Below are 18,199 nucleotides of genomic sequence, written 5' to 3'. Positions count from 1 at the left end.
TCCTCAAGTGATCAGTGAGATGTATTTTTGTGTCACTATGAATTCAGAAATGATGATCTTGAATCTTTTATAACCAAACTTCTTTTTGATGCTCAAATTGTTTATTCTTTTCCAGTGGAGGTCTTTCAGAATGATGCCTATGTCCTTTTACAGCATAACCCCAATATACATTAAAACTTTCTTATTTTCTGGTAAATATGATCTTTTATGATTCTTTTTGTAAAGATGTCCATTATGTGGACATCATGTAGACATTGATTTACAAATCAAGTAAAGCTCATTTCCTGTCCCAGATCTGGAATAAATCATTTCACCAAAAATTATTGGTTCCTTTTAGTGAAAAATAGTATTCTGAAATTAATTTTCAATTTTGAAATCTTATTATTATTGCTATTGGATATTGTTATCATTGTAGACCATTTCACCGGACAAAGGTAGTAAAAAGTAATTTATTTTTGTAAAGCCAAAATACATTATATGTTCATAAGAAAATTTCCTATTTGAATTTAAGATAGTATTAACTTATTTGATTTTATAGTTTCTCCTCTTTCTTTGCACTAGAAATCTTAAGTTGAAATATTTTTAAGTAATTACACAGTTCCTTTATCTTAAAATTATGTATCTATATGTATCTAGCTATAGAAACAATAACATTGTTACAAAAAATACTAGAGTTCTATAATTAGTATTTAATATTACTAAATACTTGTTACTCATAAAGCTTGGATAATCAAATAATATTTTTAGGCCAGCAAATTTATATAAAGTTAGAATCATTTGCTTTATTTTGTTTTTGAATTTTAGGCATCACTTTTATTTTATTTTGATTTAAGTTTATTTTATAATTTTGGAATCATTTACGTATTTCCAAAGAAAAACCTGTCACACAAGGTAGAGTGAGATAACTCCAGCTTTTATTCCATCCTCTTTACTCTTTTCCATCCCTTCTCCCATATATAATAATTCTTATTAAATTATCTTCATCCGTATCTATATCTCATACACTACAAGCAGTTGAAGAAAATATTACTGAATTAGAAAAGAAATACGAGGAAGTTATCCAAACATACCATATGGATGGTAGATATAAAAAAAGAGCATTTATATCCTTAAATTTTTATTTTAGAAAGCAAGAAAAAATGAGAAATAGTGAGCTAAAACTTCTATTGGGGAAGCTAGAAAATAAAACCAGAGTAAACACAAAGAAAATTATAAAAGGAAAGCTATAGTAAAGTTAAAAACCAGGCATTTGCAAAGTAAAACACAGAGAAACCATAGAGATAATTAAGAAACCCAAAATTGTTTACAAAAAAACTAAAACAAAGCAACAGAAAAACAATACTTCCTGGAAAACAAGGAAAGGTCTGGAAATGTTTACAGAGCAGAGGGGACTAAGGAGATGAGACGATTAAACTCAATATATCCTGGATAGAATCCTGAAACAGAAAAAGAGCATTGTGGGAAAACTAATTACTGTAAATCCAAATAAAGTGTGAAGTTTTAGTTGAGCAATGTATCAAAGTTTGTTCATTAGTTGTGACTAATGTACCATGATAAGGTAAGATATTATCAATATGGGAAAGTGGGTGAAGTGTCTATGAGATCTCCCTGCACTATATTTGAATCTTTTCTATAAATCTAAAATTATGCTAAAATTAAAATTATATTTTAGCAAATAATTATTATGGGTATGTGAGTGTGTGTATGTGTGTGTGTATATATATATATATTCTCTATCTGTAGGATAGGTCTGTTGGAGGCCCTCAAGACAACCTCCATGTTCGGAGATCCTGTAGAACAAAGTATACTCAACATATAATTGTACTCACAGCTAAGATTTATTGCAGTGATAAAGTAATAATATACCTGGATCATGAAGGAAAAAGACACAAGTGCAGTCTGGAGGAGTCCAGGGGCAGATTTCCTCGTGCTTTCTCGCTTCCACATAAAGCTTTCTTTTGTCCCACAGAGCTTTCTTTTGTGTTGCTGCACAAAAGTGCATCAACATGTGTGTTATGGTTGTGTCCGGAGTAGCTTACTCAGTGCTCAAGGTGTTTTCTGGGGATTGCTTATGCAGTTACCCTCTGCCTAGCATGTACCAACATTTCAGACACCCATAAGGAAAGCAAGTATTCATCATAAACCATATTGTCTGCACAGTCTATAAACAGTGAACCACTTTTATCAGTTAGGGAAAATTTCATTTCAGTATAGAGAACTATTTACCAGCCAGGTTCTCAGACACCAGCCAAGGGCAAAACTTGGATGGCGGCATTTCTAAAGATTGCATTCTCAGGTTTGCTACATTAATTCTTTTCTGCACAGTAAGGCACAAATTTTTATTTTTGTTTTGTTGTAGCAAATATATCTCTACATATATTAAGCTGAGTTTCTTACCTTAGTACTTTATATTTGTGATGGTTAATTTTATATTTCAAATGCCTACGCTATGGTACCCAGCTGTCTGTTCAAACACCAGTTTAGATGTTGCTGTGAAGGTATTTTTTTTAAAGATGTGATTAACCTTTAAACAAGTAGACTTTGAGTAAAGCTCATTACCCACCATAATGCTGGTTGTTATCATCCAATCAGTTCAGTGGCTTCAGAGAAAAGACTGAGCTCCACATATCCACCCTACAAAGAGGAAGGAATTCTGCCACCAGGTTGCCTTCAACTCAAGACTATAACACATACTTTTGCCTGGGTCTCCAGCCTGCCAGCCTGCCCTGCAGACTTCAAACTTGCCAGACCCCACAATCACATGATCCAATTGCAATTGTTTTAAATCTCTTTCTCTCTCTGTATGTGTATATTTATATATATATATATATATATATATATATAGAGAGAGAGAGAGAGAGAGAGAGAGAGAGAGAGAGAGATGCATACATATATATGCATATTCTTTTTGTTGTTGTTTAGTTGCTTACAATTCCATTTGGGGAAGATATCATAGTTTACTTCACCAGTTTCCATAATCAAAATCTGGGTAGTTTTCAATTCAATCATTTGATATATCACAGTGTTTCAATGAATAGTCCTATCTTATGTTATTTAATATTGTTATCTATCAGTATGTTTGAAATAGATTCCTAGAAGTGAGATTACTGCACCATATGATTTCCCTTGGCATTTGGCAAGCACACTAAAAATTACTATAATGAATGACCTCACTTACCCTTGGGCATTATTTATTCTTTAGGTCATCCTTTGAAACCAGACCATAAATCATTTTGCATATTTCAAATGCACCATTGTATATTTTAAAGGTTCATATGTGGAAATAAGAAAACATTAAATAAAAGATAAGTTGTATCTCAAAATGTATGGGTTAATTAAGGTAGTAGGGTGTGGAAAGATATTGGCTTGAAATGGAAGGTTTGCACATGGAGAAGCAATAAAATCAGATAGCTAGTTTAACTGGAGGTAAAAGTATGGATCTGTGAAGAGAAACCATACTTCTTGGGAAAATGAGGTCAAAGAAAGTTAAGCTGAGAGACAGTTTAAAACAACCACTCGCAAAATAATAAACAAAATGCATCTTCTGTTTCCAATTAATGTGTGTATACAAAATAATTGTTTGTCTCTATCCAGAGTAACTAAAATATAATTGGATTTTAGATATCCTATATTTTTATGTTAATTTATTCAACAAGAAGATAATTGAAGCAGGAACTGCGGAAATGAGTACTTTGTCCCCCAGGTGCCCTGAAGACTTCAGGCTGATGGAACGAATGTGAAGAACATGAGTCTTTGGGGAAGAGCAGGTTTGGAGGGCAGGAGAGAGACTAGGGAATGAAGACCATGCAGACGGATTTTTCTCAGACCCATGTCCTGGGGGTATATTCAGGAAATGTGACCTATTTCAGAGATATTTTATAGATACTATTCAGGAGAGTTACTGGCGTAAGACTACACTGAAAAGTGTCTTAAGCAGCAACATTGAAATAGATCCACAGACCCCATGGAAAAAAATAACCTCTTAAGAAATCAAAAGAGTGGGCCAGGCGTGGTGGCTCATGCCTGTAATGCTAGCATTTTGGGAGGCTGAGGCATGCGGATTCCCTAAGGTCAGAAGTTTGAGACCAGCCTGGTCAAAAGGGCGAAACCCCATCTCTACTAAAAATACAAAAAAATTAGCTGGGTGTGGTGGCACATGCCTGTAATCCCAGCTACTTGGGAGGTTGAGGCAGGAGAATCACTTGAACCCAGGAGACAGAGTTTGCAGTGAGCCAAGATGGTGCCACTGCACTCCAGCATGGGTGACAGAGTGAGACTCTCTCTCAAAAGAAAAAGAAAAAAAGAAAGAAAGAAAAGAAATAAAAAGAATAGTAAAATGTCACCAAGCTAAGTCATAAAGTTAAGGACCATGTCTGCTTTTGTTCATGGTTATATTCTCAATGCCTAACACAAAACAGATATTCAGGACAACTGGGTCAAAAGAATGAAGACATTAATTAATTTAAAATATGCCAGAAAATAGAACTATAGTTTTTTATAAGAGGCTGATCCTTAGGCTAACATCTTGCTGAGTAACTCATAGACTTGGCCCACATTAGCATCTTCATAAGCATTCTATGAGTGAATATTCACCTCCATCTCCATTTTCTTCCTAGGAGCTGATCATTCTGGTGTAAGTCTATGGGCTCATTTCCTGAGTCTGGTTGACTTTCTGTTTTATAAGGGCCACCTTGCTATATCCTTTCAAAGCATTTTGAGGGACAGCTTTCCCCTCCTCAGCAACCACCTTCTTCAGCTACATTCAAGAACACCCACAGAAAAGCCTTTGGCTGTGGGGAGTCATTTGTTAATCAGCATGGGAATCAGAGGAACAGAGGAACATAGGAACAAACACATGTAGAGGGAAATGGTGTTCATCTTCTCAGCAGTCTTTGACTCCCTTTCTCAGATGGGATCTCGATATTCCAGTGGCTTCCAATCATCCTTGTATCTCAGGTGGCTTTTGCCAAACCTCCCTTCTCCTTGAGACCCTGCACTGTCCTCTACAGCTTGGAGTCAAGCTTATATCGTATAACTCTTTTTATCAGGTGTCCTCTTTCTAGCATAGTCCCCAAAGTACAATTAGAATGAAGCAGCAGGTGAGCGCTGTCATTCACTTACCTGGCCTGACTTGTATTTTACACTTGTGGAGACCTCCAGGCTGAATGACCCCCATCTCCTGACTCACCACCCAACTTCCCACGTCTTCAGAAGTGAATGTTTTGTGCGATGTTAAGAATCCCTCTGACAAGTTAGAATTAACAATAAAACTATTTTAAGATAACCTGCCTAAAAGCTGGTGCCTGAGTTTCCCTATGTTATCAAGTCAGTTTAACGTGCTGTGTAGCTGACTTGGAATTCAAGCATTCAAGTCAAAAAACCCCATATGTAAGAGTAGGATAGAACCAAGTATTCCATTCATCAATTAATCCTCCTCCCGTTCCAAAACGTTTTAGTGATCATGCTAGTTTCCCTTCAACTTTGCTTCTTTTACACTTTAATTCTTGTTCCAGGCTCTCTACCTTTCTCATTCCACACCAGTTCTTTTGAAATTTTATCCACATCATTCTTTTATGGCCAGTTATGTGCCAGTGACAGTCAGAGGTACCCTCCAAAGCTTGGACTGTTTCTAAAAGTTCCTGGCCTACAAGTACATGTATCTAAACGCCACAAGAGTTCCAGTACTGAACACAAAATATCTACCCGGCAACCATGATCCTCCTCCAGGATTCCTTATCTTGGTAAATGACAACAACAGTTTTGTAAGTCAGATATCAAGGACTCATCCTTGTAAATGTATTTTCCCTACCTCCCCACCCATATCCCATCTACAAGGAAGTCCTGTCAGTTTTGCCATCTAAATGCTTCTTGAACCCATCCGTTTGTCACCATCTCTTTCTTAGCATCCTACACAAAGCTGTGATTGTCTCCCACCTAGACTATGGCAATAAGCTCCTAACTCCTCCATCCATGGCCATTCTACTCTCCCTTTCAGTGTATCCTCTGTGCTATAGTAAAAGGGATCTTTTTTAAAAAATTAGATTCATGGGTTACATATGCAGGTTTGTCAGAGGGATATATCGTGTGAATGTGTCACCCAAATAGTGAACATAGTACCCAATAGGTAGCTTTTTGACCTTTGTGCACTTTCTTCTCTCCCCTCTTTTGGGGCCCCTGGTGTTCTATTGTTCCTATCTTTATGTCCATGTGTACCCAATGTTTAGTTCCCACTTACAAGTGAGAGCATGCAGTATTTGGTTTTCTGTTGGTTTTCACTTAGGATAATGGCCTCCAGCTGCATCCATGTTGCTGCAAAGGACATCACTTCAGGGTTTTTTATGGCCGTGTAGTACTCCATGGTGTGTATGTACCACATTTTCTTTATCCAGTCCACTGTTGATGGGCACTTGGGTTGATTCCATGTTTTTGCTATTATAAATAGTGCTGCAATAAACATGCAAATGCAGGTGTCTCTTTGGTAGGCCAAAGGGATCCTCTTAAACACAAATTTTTAGGCACAAATTGCTTTATGTCTCATCTCTCAACTCTACTTTAAAAGTAAAACTTCAGAAACTCCAAACCCTCCTTAAAAATTTTTTTTTTTGCCTTTAAAATAAAGACCAAAGCATATTCTACTCCCTGCCTCTGTCTCCAGTTTCGCTTTATTATTTGCCCTCCCCCCATCCCTTGTACTCTTTACATTACGTTTTGTTTCATTGTTTGATTGTTCGGGTTTCTTTTTCCTGTTGTTGTGCTCTTTTCAGCCACAGGACCTTTGTACATGCTATTCCTTTTTATGTTTAAACTTTTTCTATGTTCTCTTGTTTTAGCTAACTGAAGACCTTACTTACTTCCTCGCTTCTTGTAGATGAAAAGTGATTTAATATACATCATAATGTTATGTATATTATGAACAATGATGATCATTACAGCACTATATTACATAGTAAAAAATGGAAAACATAAATATGTACTCATATTGGAATAATTAAAGAAGTTATAGTATAACCTATGTTGGAGTATCATGCATCACTTTAAACATGCTTTTAACATTTCAATAAACTTGTTTTTCTAAATAAATTTTATTGTGTATGTTTGAGATTTACATCATGATGTCATGGGATACATATAGACAGTAAAATGGTTACTACGATGAAGCAAATTAACATATCTACCATCTTACATATTTACTTTTCTAGGGACAAGAGCATTTAAAATCTGCTTACTTAACAAAAATCCATAATACAATGTAATTTTATTAACTGTAGTAATCATCTTGCACATTAGATCTCTAGACTTTATCCTATATACCTGCCTCTTAGTATTCTCTGACCTACATCCCACCCTGCCCCAGCCCCTGACCCTACTACCCATTTTTATTCTCTCTCTGCATATATTTGACCATTTTTGAAGATTCCAAATATAAGTGAGATCATTATGCAATATTTTTCTTTCTGTGTCTGGCTTACTTCACTTAACACAAAATATGCTTATAAAGTAAGAAGGAAAAATAATAATACATAATTATGTTTTCTATGAAACCTTAATTTTCTTAAAATCAAACAAATATGTATGTTTTTATATGTGTTTGTGCATTTATACACACAGATAAAAAGCCTAGACATATATTCACAAGTATATAAATAGAAATGTCTTGGAGGTGAAATCATAGTGGATATTTCTCTTCTTCACATTTTTGTTTTCTATATTTTGTACGTTACATATGGTACTGCTTTAGCTGTTCTAAGCATTAACATTGAAACTGTAAAATGTAAAACAATGTTTTAAGAGATCAGTGACACACACGTTAGATCTGGAAAGAATGGTGACAGAAAGTCCTTCTGACTTATTCACATTCGGGTAAGAAGGATGGTGGGATCTCATGGCAGGCTGGGCAAGTGCAAATGCTGTGTCAGGAGTGTGGTTGTTGTTCTGATCTCCATCCAGCACACATTTTGATAATGCCACCAGGAAACCTTCTCTAGGGCCATCCTGAGCATGTAAAAATGACTGGCCATTGAAAACATGTCAAGTAAAAAGAAAGCTGGAGACTACCACTTGGTTCTTTTCTGCTTTGGGCCAAACTCTGCATTTGCTTCTCTTAGCCCTATGATCCAATAAACCATGACCCTATCAAATGTGAAACCTCCTCTCCTCTGAAACTGGATTTAAAAAATCAGGATTATGTGTTATGTTTTTCTGGGGTCTTGGATAGACTTTGTAAAACTAGAGGAAAGGGAGATGGAGGGAGGGAGGGAGAGAGAGACTAAGAAAGAGAGAATCTCCTTTTGTAATTGTTGCTCCACTTTAAGACCAACATGAGTCATAGGGGTTCTTGGAAGACTGTTCAAATATTTTAACAAACAATACTAGTTTTTTAAAAATCCAGAGGTATAATAAGCACTTGTCAGGAAGTGAGCCAAGGTGGATCCTCAGCATGGCCCACTGAGCAACCAGCGTACATCTTATTGACTTAACACAGTCAGAGAAACATGAGTTTGAAATCTGACCCTCTTAGACACTTTGTGACTTTGGAAAAGTTACTTAAATGCATTTATGCCTCAGTTTCTACATCATACTTACTTTGAGGGGTTGTTATAAATAATAAAAATGCTGTATGCAACATACCCAACAGACAGAGTACTTAATCATAATTATTTTTATCAAAGGACTTTTAATGCGAACCTGAATGTTTTGTGCTTTGGACTGGATTTTGCTGGAAATAGGAAATAGTGATATTCTGGTAGTCATGGGGTATTATAATCTCAAACCTGTGAACCATCAACAATTATCAAAACTTTTGTTGGACTTATGAGAGAGTTTAGGTCTCTTATTTTATGGAAAGTTATCTGAAAGATATGCAGTTTATGCATCTAGTTTTTGAAAATTCATCCTTTTGTTAAGCTGGACAACAGAGAAGCATTTTGTCTCTTCCTCTCCCTCACCCTTTTGATTCCCCACCATCTGTCTTTACCACATAGAATGCTTTTATTTTTCTTTTTATGAGCCAGCTTAGTCTTATTCTGTTGCCCAGGCTGGAGTGCAGTGGCGTTATCATAGCCTACTACCACCTTGAACTCCTGAGCTCAAGTGACCCTCCCTCCTAAGCCTCCCAAAGAGAGTAATTAGGACTACAGGCATGCACAACCATGCCTGGCTAATTTTTCTCCTTTTTTTTTTTTTTTTTTTTGAGACAGGATCTCCCTGTCTTGCCCAGCTTGTCTCGAACTCCCGGCTTTAAGCGATCCTCCTGCCTTGGACTCCTAAAGCCTTGAGATTACAGGTGTGAGGCACTGTGCCTGGCCAAAATGCCTTTAAATGAAGCACTATTTGGCATTATGGCAAATGCTCATGTGGAGGAATATTAAAAGAAGCATTCTTATAAAAGTTGTGTTTTTTGCAAAAGTTTGTTGAAAACCATGTCTACAACAATCCATGATGTTCTCTTTATTTCTCTCCAGCCCCAGGACCAGTAGCAGTCATGCTTCTCCTGATCAGCAGGTTTCTTTTTAGCTTGTAGAAATGCTGAGGCATATAATTCCTTATTTTTCCTCTTTTTCTTGCTATTATGAAACACACTGCAACATTCTAGAAAGAGTGTTAGGCATTTGCTAAGCATTTTGTTTATTTACCTCCGTCCTCTATTCCTCATATCCTTTATGAATGTACTCTATCACTTTATATATCCTATATCCTCATATTCCTCATATCGTCTAGGCATAGACTCCATTGTATATTTATCCTAGGATCATCCCACTTTTCCTTTTGCCATAACCTCTTTATTTAAATTACACTTTTTTTCTGTGCCTTTATGTAAAGCACCTGAAAGCATTTTCAGAAGAAATATTGTGAAGAAAGAAGAAAGAAAGAGAGGGCAGAAATACGGAAGGAATGAAGCAAGACAAGAAAGAAAAGCACGGAATATGTTAATAAACAGACAAAAGCCAACAAATAAATAATAAACTAATAAACCCTTCAAGGTAAGTATCATGTAGAAACTGTGTCTACTAAAGTCATATATGTGGCAGAGCTGTAATAAAAATATTTTGATTATAATCGATCAAGAATTAGGAAATAGATATTCAAGAAAGACATTATTTGCGGAATGTAAGGGTCATTATCATGGAAAATGGATTTTCAGCAAGGCTATGCATCTTTCCTAAGTGAGTGAATAGCAAAGCTTCAGAGCTTAGACCTTTCAATAGTTAGTTAAGACTTTTCAGGCTCAGCAAAAGGAATTCTTAGTATTGTACTCTGCTGCGGTATCAGAGCTTGTGAATGTCCCATCCTTTCCCTCAATCTTGAGTATGGAATAAGTATGGAGAGCAGGGAGTGAGGGTGCTGCGACTGTCTGCAGGGCCCTTCACCATCCTGAAAGCCTGCCAACCAGTTTGATGCTCTAGCAGAGGGTAAAAAAGCCAGCTTGCAAGCAAGCAAATAAAAGATACTAGATCAAAAAGATCTTTTTAAAGACAGTACATACACCAGCCCCCGGGTATTTCAAATATTTATAATTCTCTACATATTTAATCTTTAAGAGTTCTTGAGATGCTATGTTCAGAATCTGATGCTAACATACCCAGCTCAGTGATACTATCAAAGTCATTGAAGGAACATAGGAGAGAGATGAAGGAAATATATGAAAAAGACAAAATAATCAAAACTCCTAAGGCAGTCCACAGGACTAGAGTCATAGAATGACAAAATTGAAAGAGACCTTGGAAATCTCATCCCTCCCTTTCACAAAAGGAACACTAAGGCATAGAGAGATTTCCCAGCATGTCCGTGTTACTCAGAACTGGATATCTTCGGGGGAAAGAACCTTGGTACTTTCAAATGAGATGAGCAAACAGCGATGCAAGAAATGCAGAATATTATTGCTAATTCCACAGGTCAGAAATGTGACAATTATGACATAAGTTAGGCTGGCCCATACTTTAGCCAATGGGGTAAAATATTAGCTACGTAAGTTAACAATTCCAGCTATCAGTCATCATAGTTATTAAGGGTTTTTCTCTGAGCCACACTAGAAGGAAGAGAAGGAAGTTAGGAGAAGCCCAGGATAAGGACATGGTCTCTGGCTTCAGAGAACTTTCACTTTAATTGGGAAGATGAGGAAATCACAGAAAAATATAATGATTCAGGATTATCCAGCAGTATGTAGACTGTATAGCATTCATATCTATGCTACAGTTTCTCTTGTCCAGCCCAGATTTTTTGAAGGCATTAATCTCTTCTATAAAGCTCTAGAGGTACTCATCCAATATCTGTTAAATTTGTTGACTGCCAACTCCTTTTCCCAGTGAAGTTCATTCCATTTAAGAACATTCCAATCATTCCACAAAGTGTGCATAATTCAAAACATCAAATTGTACATGATAAATGTATACAAGTTTTTCTGTCAATTATAGAAAGTTAAAAAGAACATTCTAAATGATAAAAATGTCCCATTTATATTTACTGTAGATTCCTTTCCATTTTCTTTCTTTCTTTTTTTTTTTTTTTTTTTGAGACAGTGTCTTTGTCTCCCAGGCTAGGGTGCAGCGGCATAATCACAGCTCACTTCAGCCTTGACTTCTCAGGACTCAGGTGATTTTCCCACCTCAGCCTCCCAAGTGGCTGGGAATACAGGTGTGCACCACAACACCCAGCTAATTTTTCTATTTTTTGATGAGACAGGGTTTCCCCACATTGTCCAAGCTGGTCTCGAACTCCTGGGCTCAAGCCACCTACCCACCTCAGCTTCCCAAAGTGCTGAGATGATAGGCTTGAGGATAGGAGAACTCTGATTCTCCTTATATTCCAAAATTGTTGGATATTTTAAGATACTCATTGTGGCTTTCTTCTACCAGACACTGAGTTCCTTCAATCACTTCTCACATAACATGGATCCAGGACCCCCCACTACCTGAGTGCTCTCCAGACCCCAACCCAACACACCCCAACCCAGGTGTGATTTCACTGGCTCAGAATGAGCGGGATGACGGTCTCTTGTTCTGAAAAGTCTATGCTATTTCTATTCTTTTTGCCTAATATTGCATTAATATTTTGGCATCTATATCACATAGTTGACTCATACTGAGCTTAAAGTCAATTAAAACCCCTGTATCTTTTTCACATGTGTTATTGATAAATCCCCCCCCCCAATTATTCATGTCTGCAATTGTTAGTGGTTTTCATTTTTAAATCTACATTTGTGCCTGTTAAATTTCATCATGTTGTATTGAGCCCATTGTTGCAGCTTTTGGAACATTTTTTTGGACTCATTTTTAGCTCTTTTTCCCAGCTCTGTGTCACGCACAGGTTGATTTGGCCATATGCAACATCCAAGTTAAGAACAAAAATGTTGATTAACCTTAGGCCAAAGCCAAGATTCAAGAGTGAAATTCGTTTAAGGTAGAACCTATTCATTAGTTATACGTCTTTGGGTCTTGTCAGTAAAAGTGGATTTGAACGTGAGGCATCCTGAGATTGGATGGCAGTGATCCTAAATGAGAATTTCCTTGGAACCATTGATAACATGAAACAAAGCAAATCTATGTCATGCGTTTAAGATATATTGTTGTTGTTTGTTTGTTTAAGAGAGGGCCCTCTAATGATAATTCGTAATATAGGTCAGGCTTCAGCTTTTTGAGGAATGGTAACTGGCGAGAATAAGGATTCAGTGTAGCAAATTAGAGTGGGAGAGGAACTACAGTTATTGATGGAGATTGGTTAAAATAGATATAGAAATTATAAAGAAAGAGGGATAGATAAAGCCCATATTGGCAATCCTGAAGAGTCTATATAATACTCAGGATTAATCTTTGGCACTGTGGCTCCTGAATCCAGAAGGCAGTACAGTGTCAATTACCACCAGATGATGTGGCTGAATATATCTCTTGTCCCTAGGGATAAAGTTGCAGTTGGACCTATAGCTGGGATCCATTAGATACAGATGTGAACAGCTGGGGCAGCCACCAAAAGGACAGCTCAATCAGAAACAAATACTCTACACTTAATTAACATATAATCCCACATTTTCTATATATTTTAATATAAAAAAATTATAAGGAACCTAGTGAAACCTATATATATAAACATATAAATGTATATTTATATGTTTATATATAATATATAAACCTATAAATGTATATTTACATGTTTATATATAATATATAAACCTATAAATGTATATTTACATGTTTATATATAATATATAAACCTATATATATATATATATATATATATATATAACTTACTTATCATAGCTCTGATCTACAAACTTAGCAATTTTATTAAGGAGGGGTGGAAGAAGGTGGCATAATATTAGTTTTACTTTATTTATTTTTTTTCAATGAACTTTGTGACCCAAAATAAGCCATTGAATTTCTATGAACTTTAGTTTTCTTATCTGCCAAGGGGACCTAAAATGATCTACTTTGCAGTGTTTAGTAAAGATCAAAACTACAAATAATAGTCAGCTGGCACATCATGGTAACTCAACTAATGATAGCTCTTACAAAAGAAAAATTGGGGGGGGGAATCATGAAAATGGGAAAATCAAAGATCGCTATGATTTCAAGCCTGAATGACTAAAAGAATGAATTAAAAATTATGTAAGAGAATTGTTTTCAAAAGCCCTCCTGAAGCCAAATTTTTACCAGCCATTGATGTAACAAGAAGCTTCTAAAAAACGATGTTCAATCCAATTGCCCCTTAGGGTTCCTTTTTGGTAACACTTAATTAACTATAATTATATGTTATTCTATATACTTGAAAGAGATAAGCGTAGATTTCTTTAAGAATATTCTGAATTTGAGCTTTCCACACATCTTCACTGACCTTCACCCCTTCATTTCAAATCAGTGGGGCTTCACTGTGTTCAAAGCATCCCACGTCCTCTTTTTCTGTCGCATGCTAGAGCTAGGGAGAGCGTGAGCACAGCCCCCGCTGGTCCCAGGGCAGAAAGCCGGCAAGGGAAAGGCATCTTCGGGGTCTCCAATAATTCTTCATCGGCTCTTTTAGTATTCTGGGATTTGTGTGATAAAAGATGGCGCCTGTGAGGGCCGTACCGCTTGCTGCCTTCCTAATGATGAATAACCTGGCTCAGATTAATAATTAAAAGTGCACCAGGGAGTCATTCGTGGGATGAGACGAGGTTTGCCTTGTTCCTACCCCTTTCGAAGAGCTGTGCAGAGCTCAACTGTGCGGGAGAAGAAAAAGCAGACAGAAGGATAGAAAGTGTGCTTTGGTGATTAATGCGGAGCTGGTGTCCAGGCGAGGCGCTTTCCTGCCACGGCGATTTCCTCTGCAGTCTTGCTATGTCAGGCGGGCGCAAGGCCACGCCCTCTCCACTCTGGCTCCACCCTATTCTTTCCCATCGTCCGGGCTCCATTGAGTTTAAAATGAAATTACGAATCTCTGCAACATAGCCCCACTGTTGCATTTTAAGCACTTGGCACTCCTTATACTGTTCCTGAGATGCCCATGGTAATGTGTTACAAAAGCACATAAATTAGTGACGACTTACAGGTTGCTCAAAGTCGTGTAGTCCTCCAGAGTCGCCTTGCTGCTTGGCTCTCCACTCTGGCGAGTCTAAATACGCTACTGCCTTCCTGACCCAGAATCCTTCTTCCAGCCTAGAATGTGATTGGCAGGGCAGGAGTTACCGGCTGATAAACGCAACTGAGAGTCTGGATTGCAGGGCAGCATAGACCTATGGGAAAGACCACACTCACACGAAAATATGTCAGAAAGGAATAGGCTTGGGTGGGGTGGGCGGGAGTCAGCACCGGGTAAGCCGAGTCCTTTTTCGGACTAGAAGGATTAGGCTGTGACTTTTCTGTGGTGTTCGGGAAGGTACAGCTTTGGCAAAAGGAGCACAGCTTGGGAACCGAGATGGGGCCATAACTCCTCCTTCCTCCAGATGGTTTTCTGTGCATCCCTGCAAGCAACAACCAAGGAAGAGAAATCCTGTTAGCAGGACTCCCTTGGCGTGCTGGGGCAGCTGCAGCTCTATTACGGTATTTCCCATTCACTCCAAGCCAGCGGCTCAGTGAGGCAGCCAAGTGGAGCTGCCCACTTTGCTGTACCCACTCATTTGACTTATTAGCAAGATGGTAATTATGTTGGGAAAAGATGAAGAGCAACGAGGGGGAGGCAAAGGAAGCAATTTTTTGGCGATGGGATGACAGCCCCCAACCACCTCGGTGTAGGTGACTAGGAGAGAGGGGAGGAGGAGAGGGAGGAAGGTGGACGGTAATTAGCAAATCTGCAATTGTGCCTGAACATCTTGTGTTTTTTTTTGGAAACTTGCTTACAGAGAATGGCCTCTATAATCAGGCCATCCGCCCACTCATCCTTATGAAACAGTTACCCAAGCAAGGCCCAAAGGGGCCCCTTTTAATAAGGAGAGTGCACTTGCTTCTTATGGGTGTTTTTGGGGACAGTTATAGCTGCCTATTGCTTTTAACTAACTTAATGGTGTCTCTTTCAAGAGAGTTAAAGATAAGTGTGTGTTAAATTCAAGAAAGCCTGCGTAGTCTTGTCCACCAGCCAGGGCAAGTTATTCAAAATGAGAAACTTCCTTCACAAGGTCATTCAAAAATATTTGCTGAAGACCTCTTATGCCCTGGGCACTGTCCTAGATGCTGGGACACAGCAGTCAAGCAAGCAGATACTCCTGGGTCATTTACATTCTTGTATGAATGTGGAAAATAAATAAGTGAATAAATATTTTAGATAGTAAAAAACAATGTGAGTGATTAAGGGGTGTGGGTATTTTCTATTGTGTGGTAAGTAAACAACTCTGTGAGTAGGTGGTGTTTTTGCCAAGAGTCAGTTGATAAATATGAAATAGCTGAAGAATGAAGCTAAACACCAACACTGGGGGAAGTGGTATTCCTGGCAGAAGGCAAAGCCATGGAAAGACCCTAAGGTGGAAATGAACTTGGCATTCTGAGGGACAGCAACAAGACAAGAAGGGCTGAGCAAAAGGTGTGGAGGACCGAGGCAAGGCAATAGGAGCAGGCAGGAGGGCAAATCACAGGCCATGTGGACTTGCTTACATTTTATTCCAAGAAAATGGGAAACTATTGAAGGGTCCTAATCAAAAAGGTGGCGTGATCAGGCTCATGTTTTCAACATATACCTCTAAATGCTGAATGGATAATACATCAAATAGGGACAAGAGAGAGTGTGTAGAAAATGGGGGAGTGGGACTGGCTATTGAGCCAGGCAAAAGGTATATAAAGTCTGGCGCTCGAAACAAAACAGGTGGATTACAAAGGAGATGTCTCCACAGCCTAGAGGTGCTAGGACTAAGCAGCTACTGTACATGCCTATTTCACATTGGCCATTGGCTGTGCACTCTAACAATGCTACTTTACTTGTTGCCTACTAGGCTCTGTGAGGTTGGGACCCCCATTTTATAGATGGGAACTCAAAGAAATAAAGTGACTTGTTTTTCATCCCATCTAATAATAGGGAGTAGAAACAGGATTTGAACCTAGGAGTCACATCTGAAGTTCATGTTGTCCCCATTATATCTCACTATCTCTAGCCTGGGGAGCTTAGATGCTCATGTTACCAGGCACCAGAATAGGTCGTAAGCACAGGACTCTAGTCTGGGCTACTGTTCTATCTCCTAAATCTAGAATAGTTCTTGGCAAATAACAGGCTTCTAAAAATGTGTCTGAGTATACAAATGGTTGAATAAACAAATGAAGTTCTCAAGTATTAAATTCAGTGGGTTAAACAACAACAACAACAACAACAACAAACATCTTTTTCTGCATGCAGGAAATATTGGTCCCCATAACCAGGCTGAGTCTGAAATGCAAGTCAAGTATTACCAGATCTTTAAGAGGAGAGATGCAGAGATGGGAAAGAGGGCAGAGACTGTATCATTCAAGGATGACTTGCCTAAGATTACATCATAGAGTAAATAAATGACGAGTGGTTACAGAACTCTCACACCCTCACTGTCAACCCAAGGAAAGGGAGTCAGTCCTGGGAAAAAAATCAAAGGGTCTGAGCTTAAATCCCAGAGATTATCATCAGTTGTCTTCAATGTCCTCATCGCAAAGGGGAATATTATCCATTTCTGAGTGATGTAGTACAGATGAAATAATGAATTGTGAAATAGCTAAGAACAAGCACTGGGTAAATAAAAATTTTGATGAGTTTGTTAGATGTCAGTTTTATTGATGATATTATTTCATCATATAACCTTCAATTTGTTCTAAATATTACTAGTCTATCCATGCAGAACAGAAGTATATAATTTACTCAGAATTCTGAATCTTCTAAAAACATATGTACCCTTGATAAATGTAGCTTGGACGTTTCTTTGGAAAATCTATTCATTAATCCATATAAATTCATTCATACATTTATTAATTCAATAAGTATTTTTAAACATTATACAAATACAAGATAACTGATATTTTGACTAACTCATGAGGACACAGGGCAGAGCATTGAGGATCCAAAGGGACACATATTCTCAGGAGTCTCTGATGTCTTGGAGTATAGTGTGAGATAGAAAAAAAATGTATGGGTAGAAAGGGGATTGTCTAAACCTAGTCCAGAATGATGGAAAGTCCTCATCTGCTAATGGTTATTTTTAGCTGGCAGAGATCATTGCCCAAAGTCTAAGGGTCAGTGCTTTCTTGTGTTTTCCAAATGGTTCTCAGGGTGTCAGAGAGGAAATGGTCAGATGGCCCTCCTAAGGATGAATGTGCTGACTATTCAGTTTCCTCACTACTCTTTTACATGTATGAACTTCTTCCCAAGTCCACCATAAAACCTTTAGTAAAAGCACCAGATCTTCATGTGTTTATTACTGATCTTGTTTATCACAGTTAAATCTTTACTGACAGAAACTAAATGTCAACTAGGATGCCTCCTTATGCCTAAAAGTTTAGTGAGATTGGCTTGAAACCCCATTTACACATCCTTTTGAGGTTCAAAGCCCATCCATCTCATTATTTTACTATTTTAATTCCTGGAAAGCTTAAATTAAATACTGCTTGTTTGCTTGCTTGTGATCCCTTCAGTAAGCCATATTGTTTCAAACAAGAAACCCATATCTTTACTAATTTTCCCAAAAGAAGATCTACCCTCCCATATAAATACACAAGACTGCAGAAGACTTTTTGAAGGAGCTGAAAAGAGAGTTTAGAGAGGAGTAGGGGGCATGGGGAGAAATATTTGC

The 18,199-nt window shown here is 37.8% G+C and overlaps 1 long non-coding RNA gene across 1 annotated transcript in view; it reads right to left on the bottom strand.

The window, feature by feature from the left end:
* LOC105370955 (uncharacterized) overlaps positions 1-16,892 on the bottom strand; it is a 56,982-nt gene extending 40,090 nt beyond the window's left edge. Inside the window, exons 1-2 of the long non-coding RNA XR_932582.2 lie at positions 16,836-16,892; positions 14,513-14,621 (exon numbers count right to left, since the gene is read on the bottom strand). This is a non-coding gene — a long non-coding RNA (uncharacterized LOC105370955). The remainder of the gene's footprint in view (positions 1-14,512; positions 14,622-16,835) is intronic.
* Between the last annotated feature and the right edge of the window lie 1,307 nt (positions 16,893-18,199).

The sequence above is a fragment of the Homo sapiens genome, chromosome 15 (genome assembly GCF_000001405.40).
Source record: "Homo sapiens chromosome 15, GRCh38.p14 Primary Assembly".
NCBI lineage: Eukaryota > Metazoa > Chordata > Mammalia > Primates > Hominidae > Homo > Homo sapiens.
Note: the sequence above shows the minus strand (reverse complement) of the source record. Positions and strands in the feature narration are given on the sequence as shown.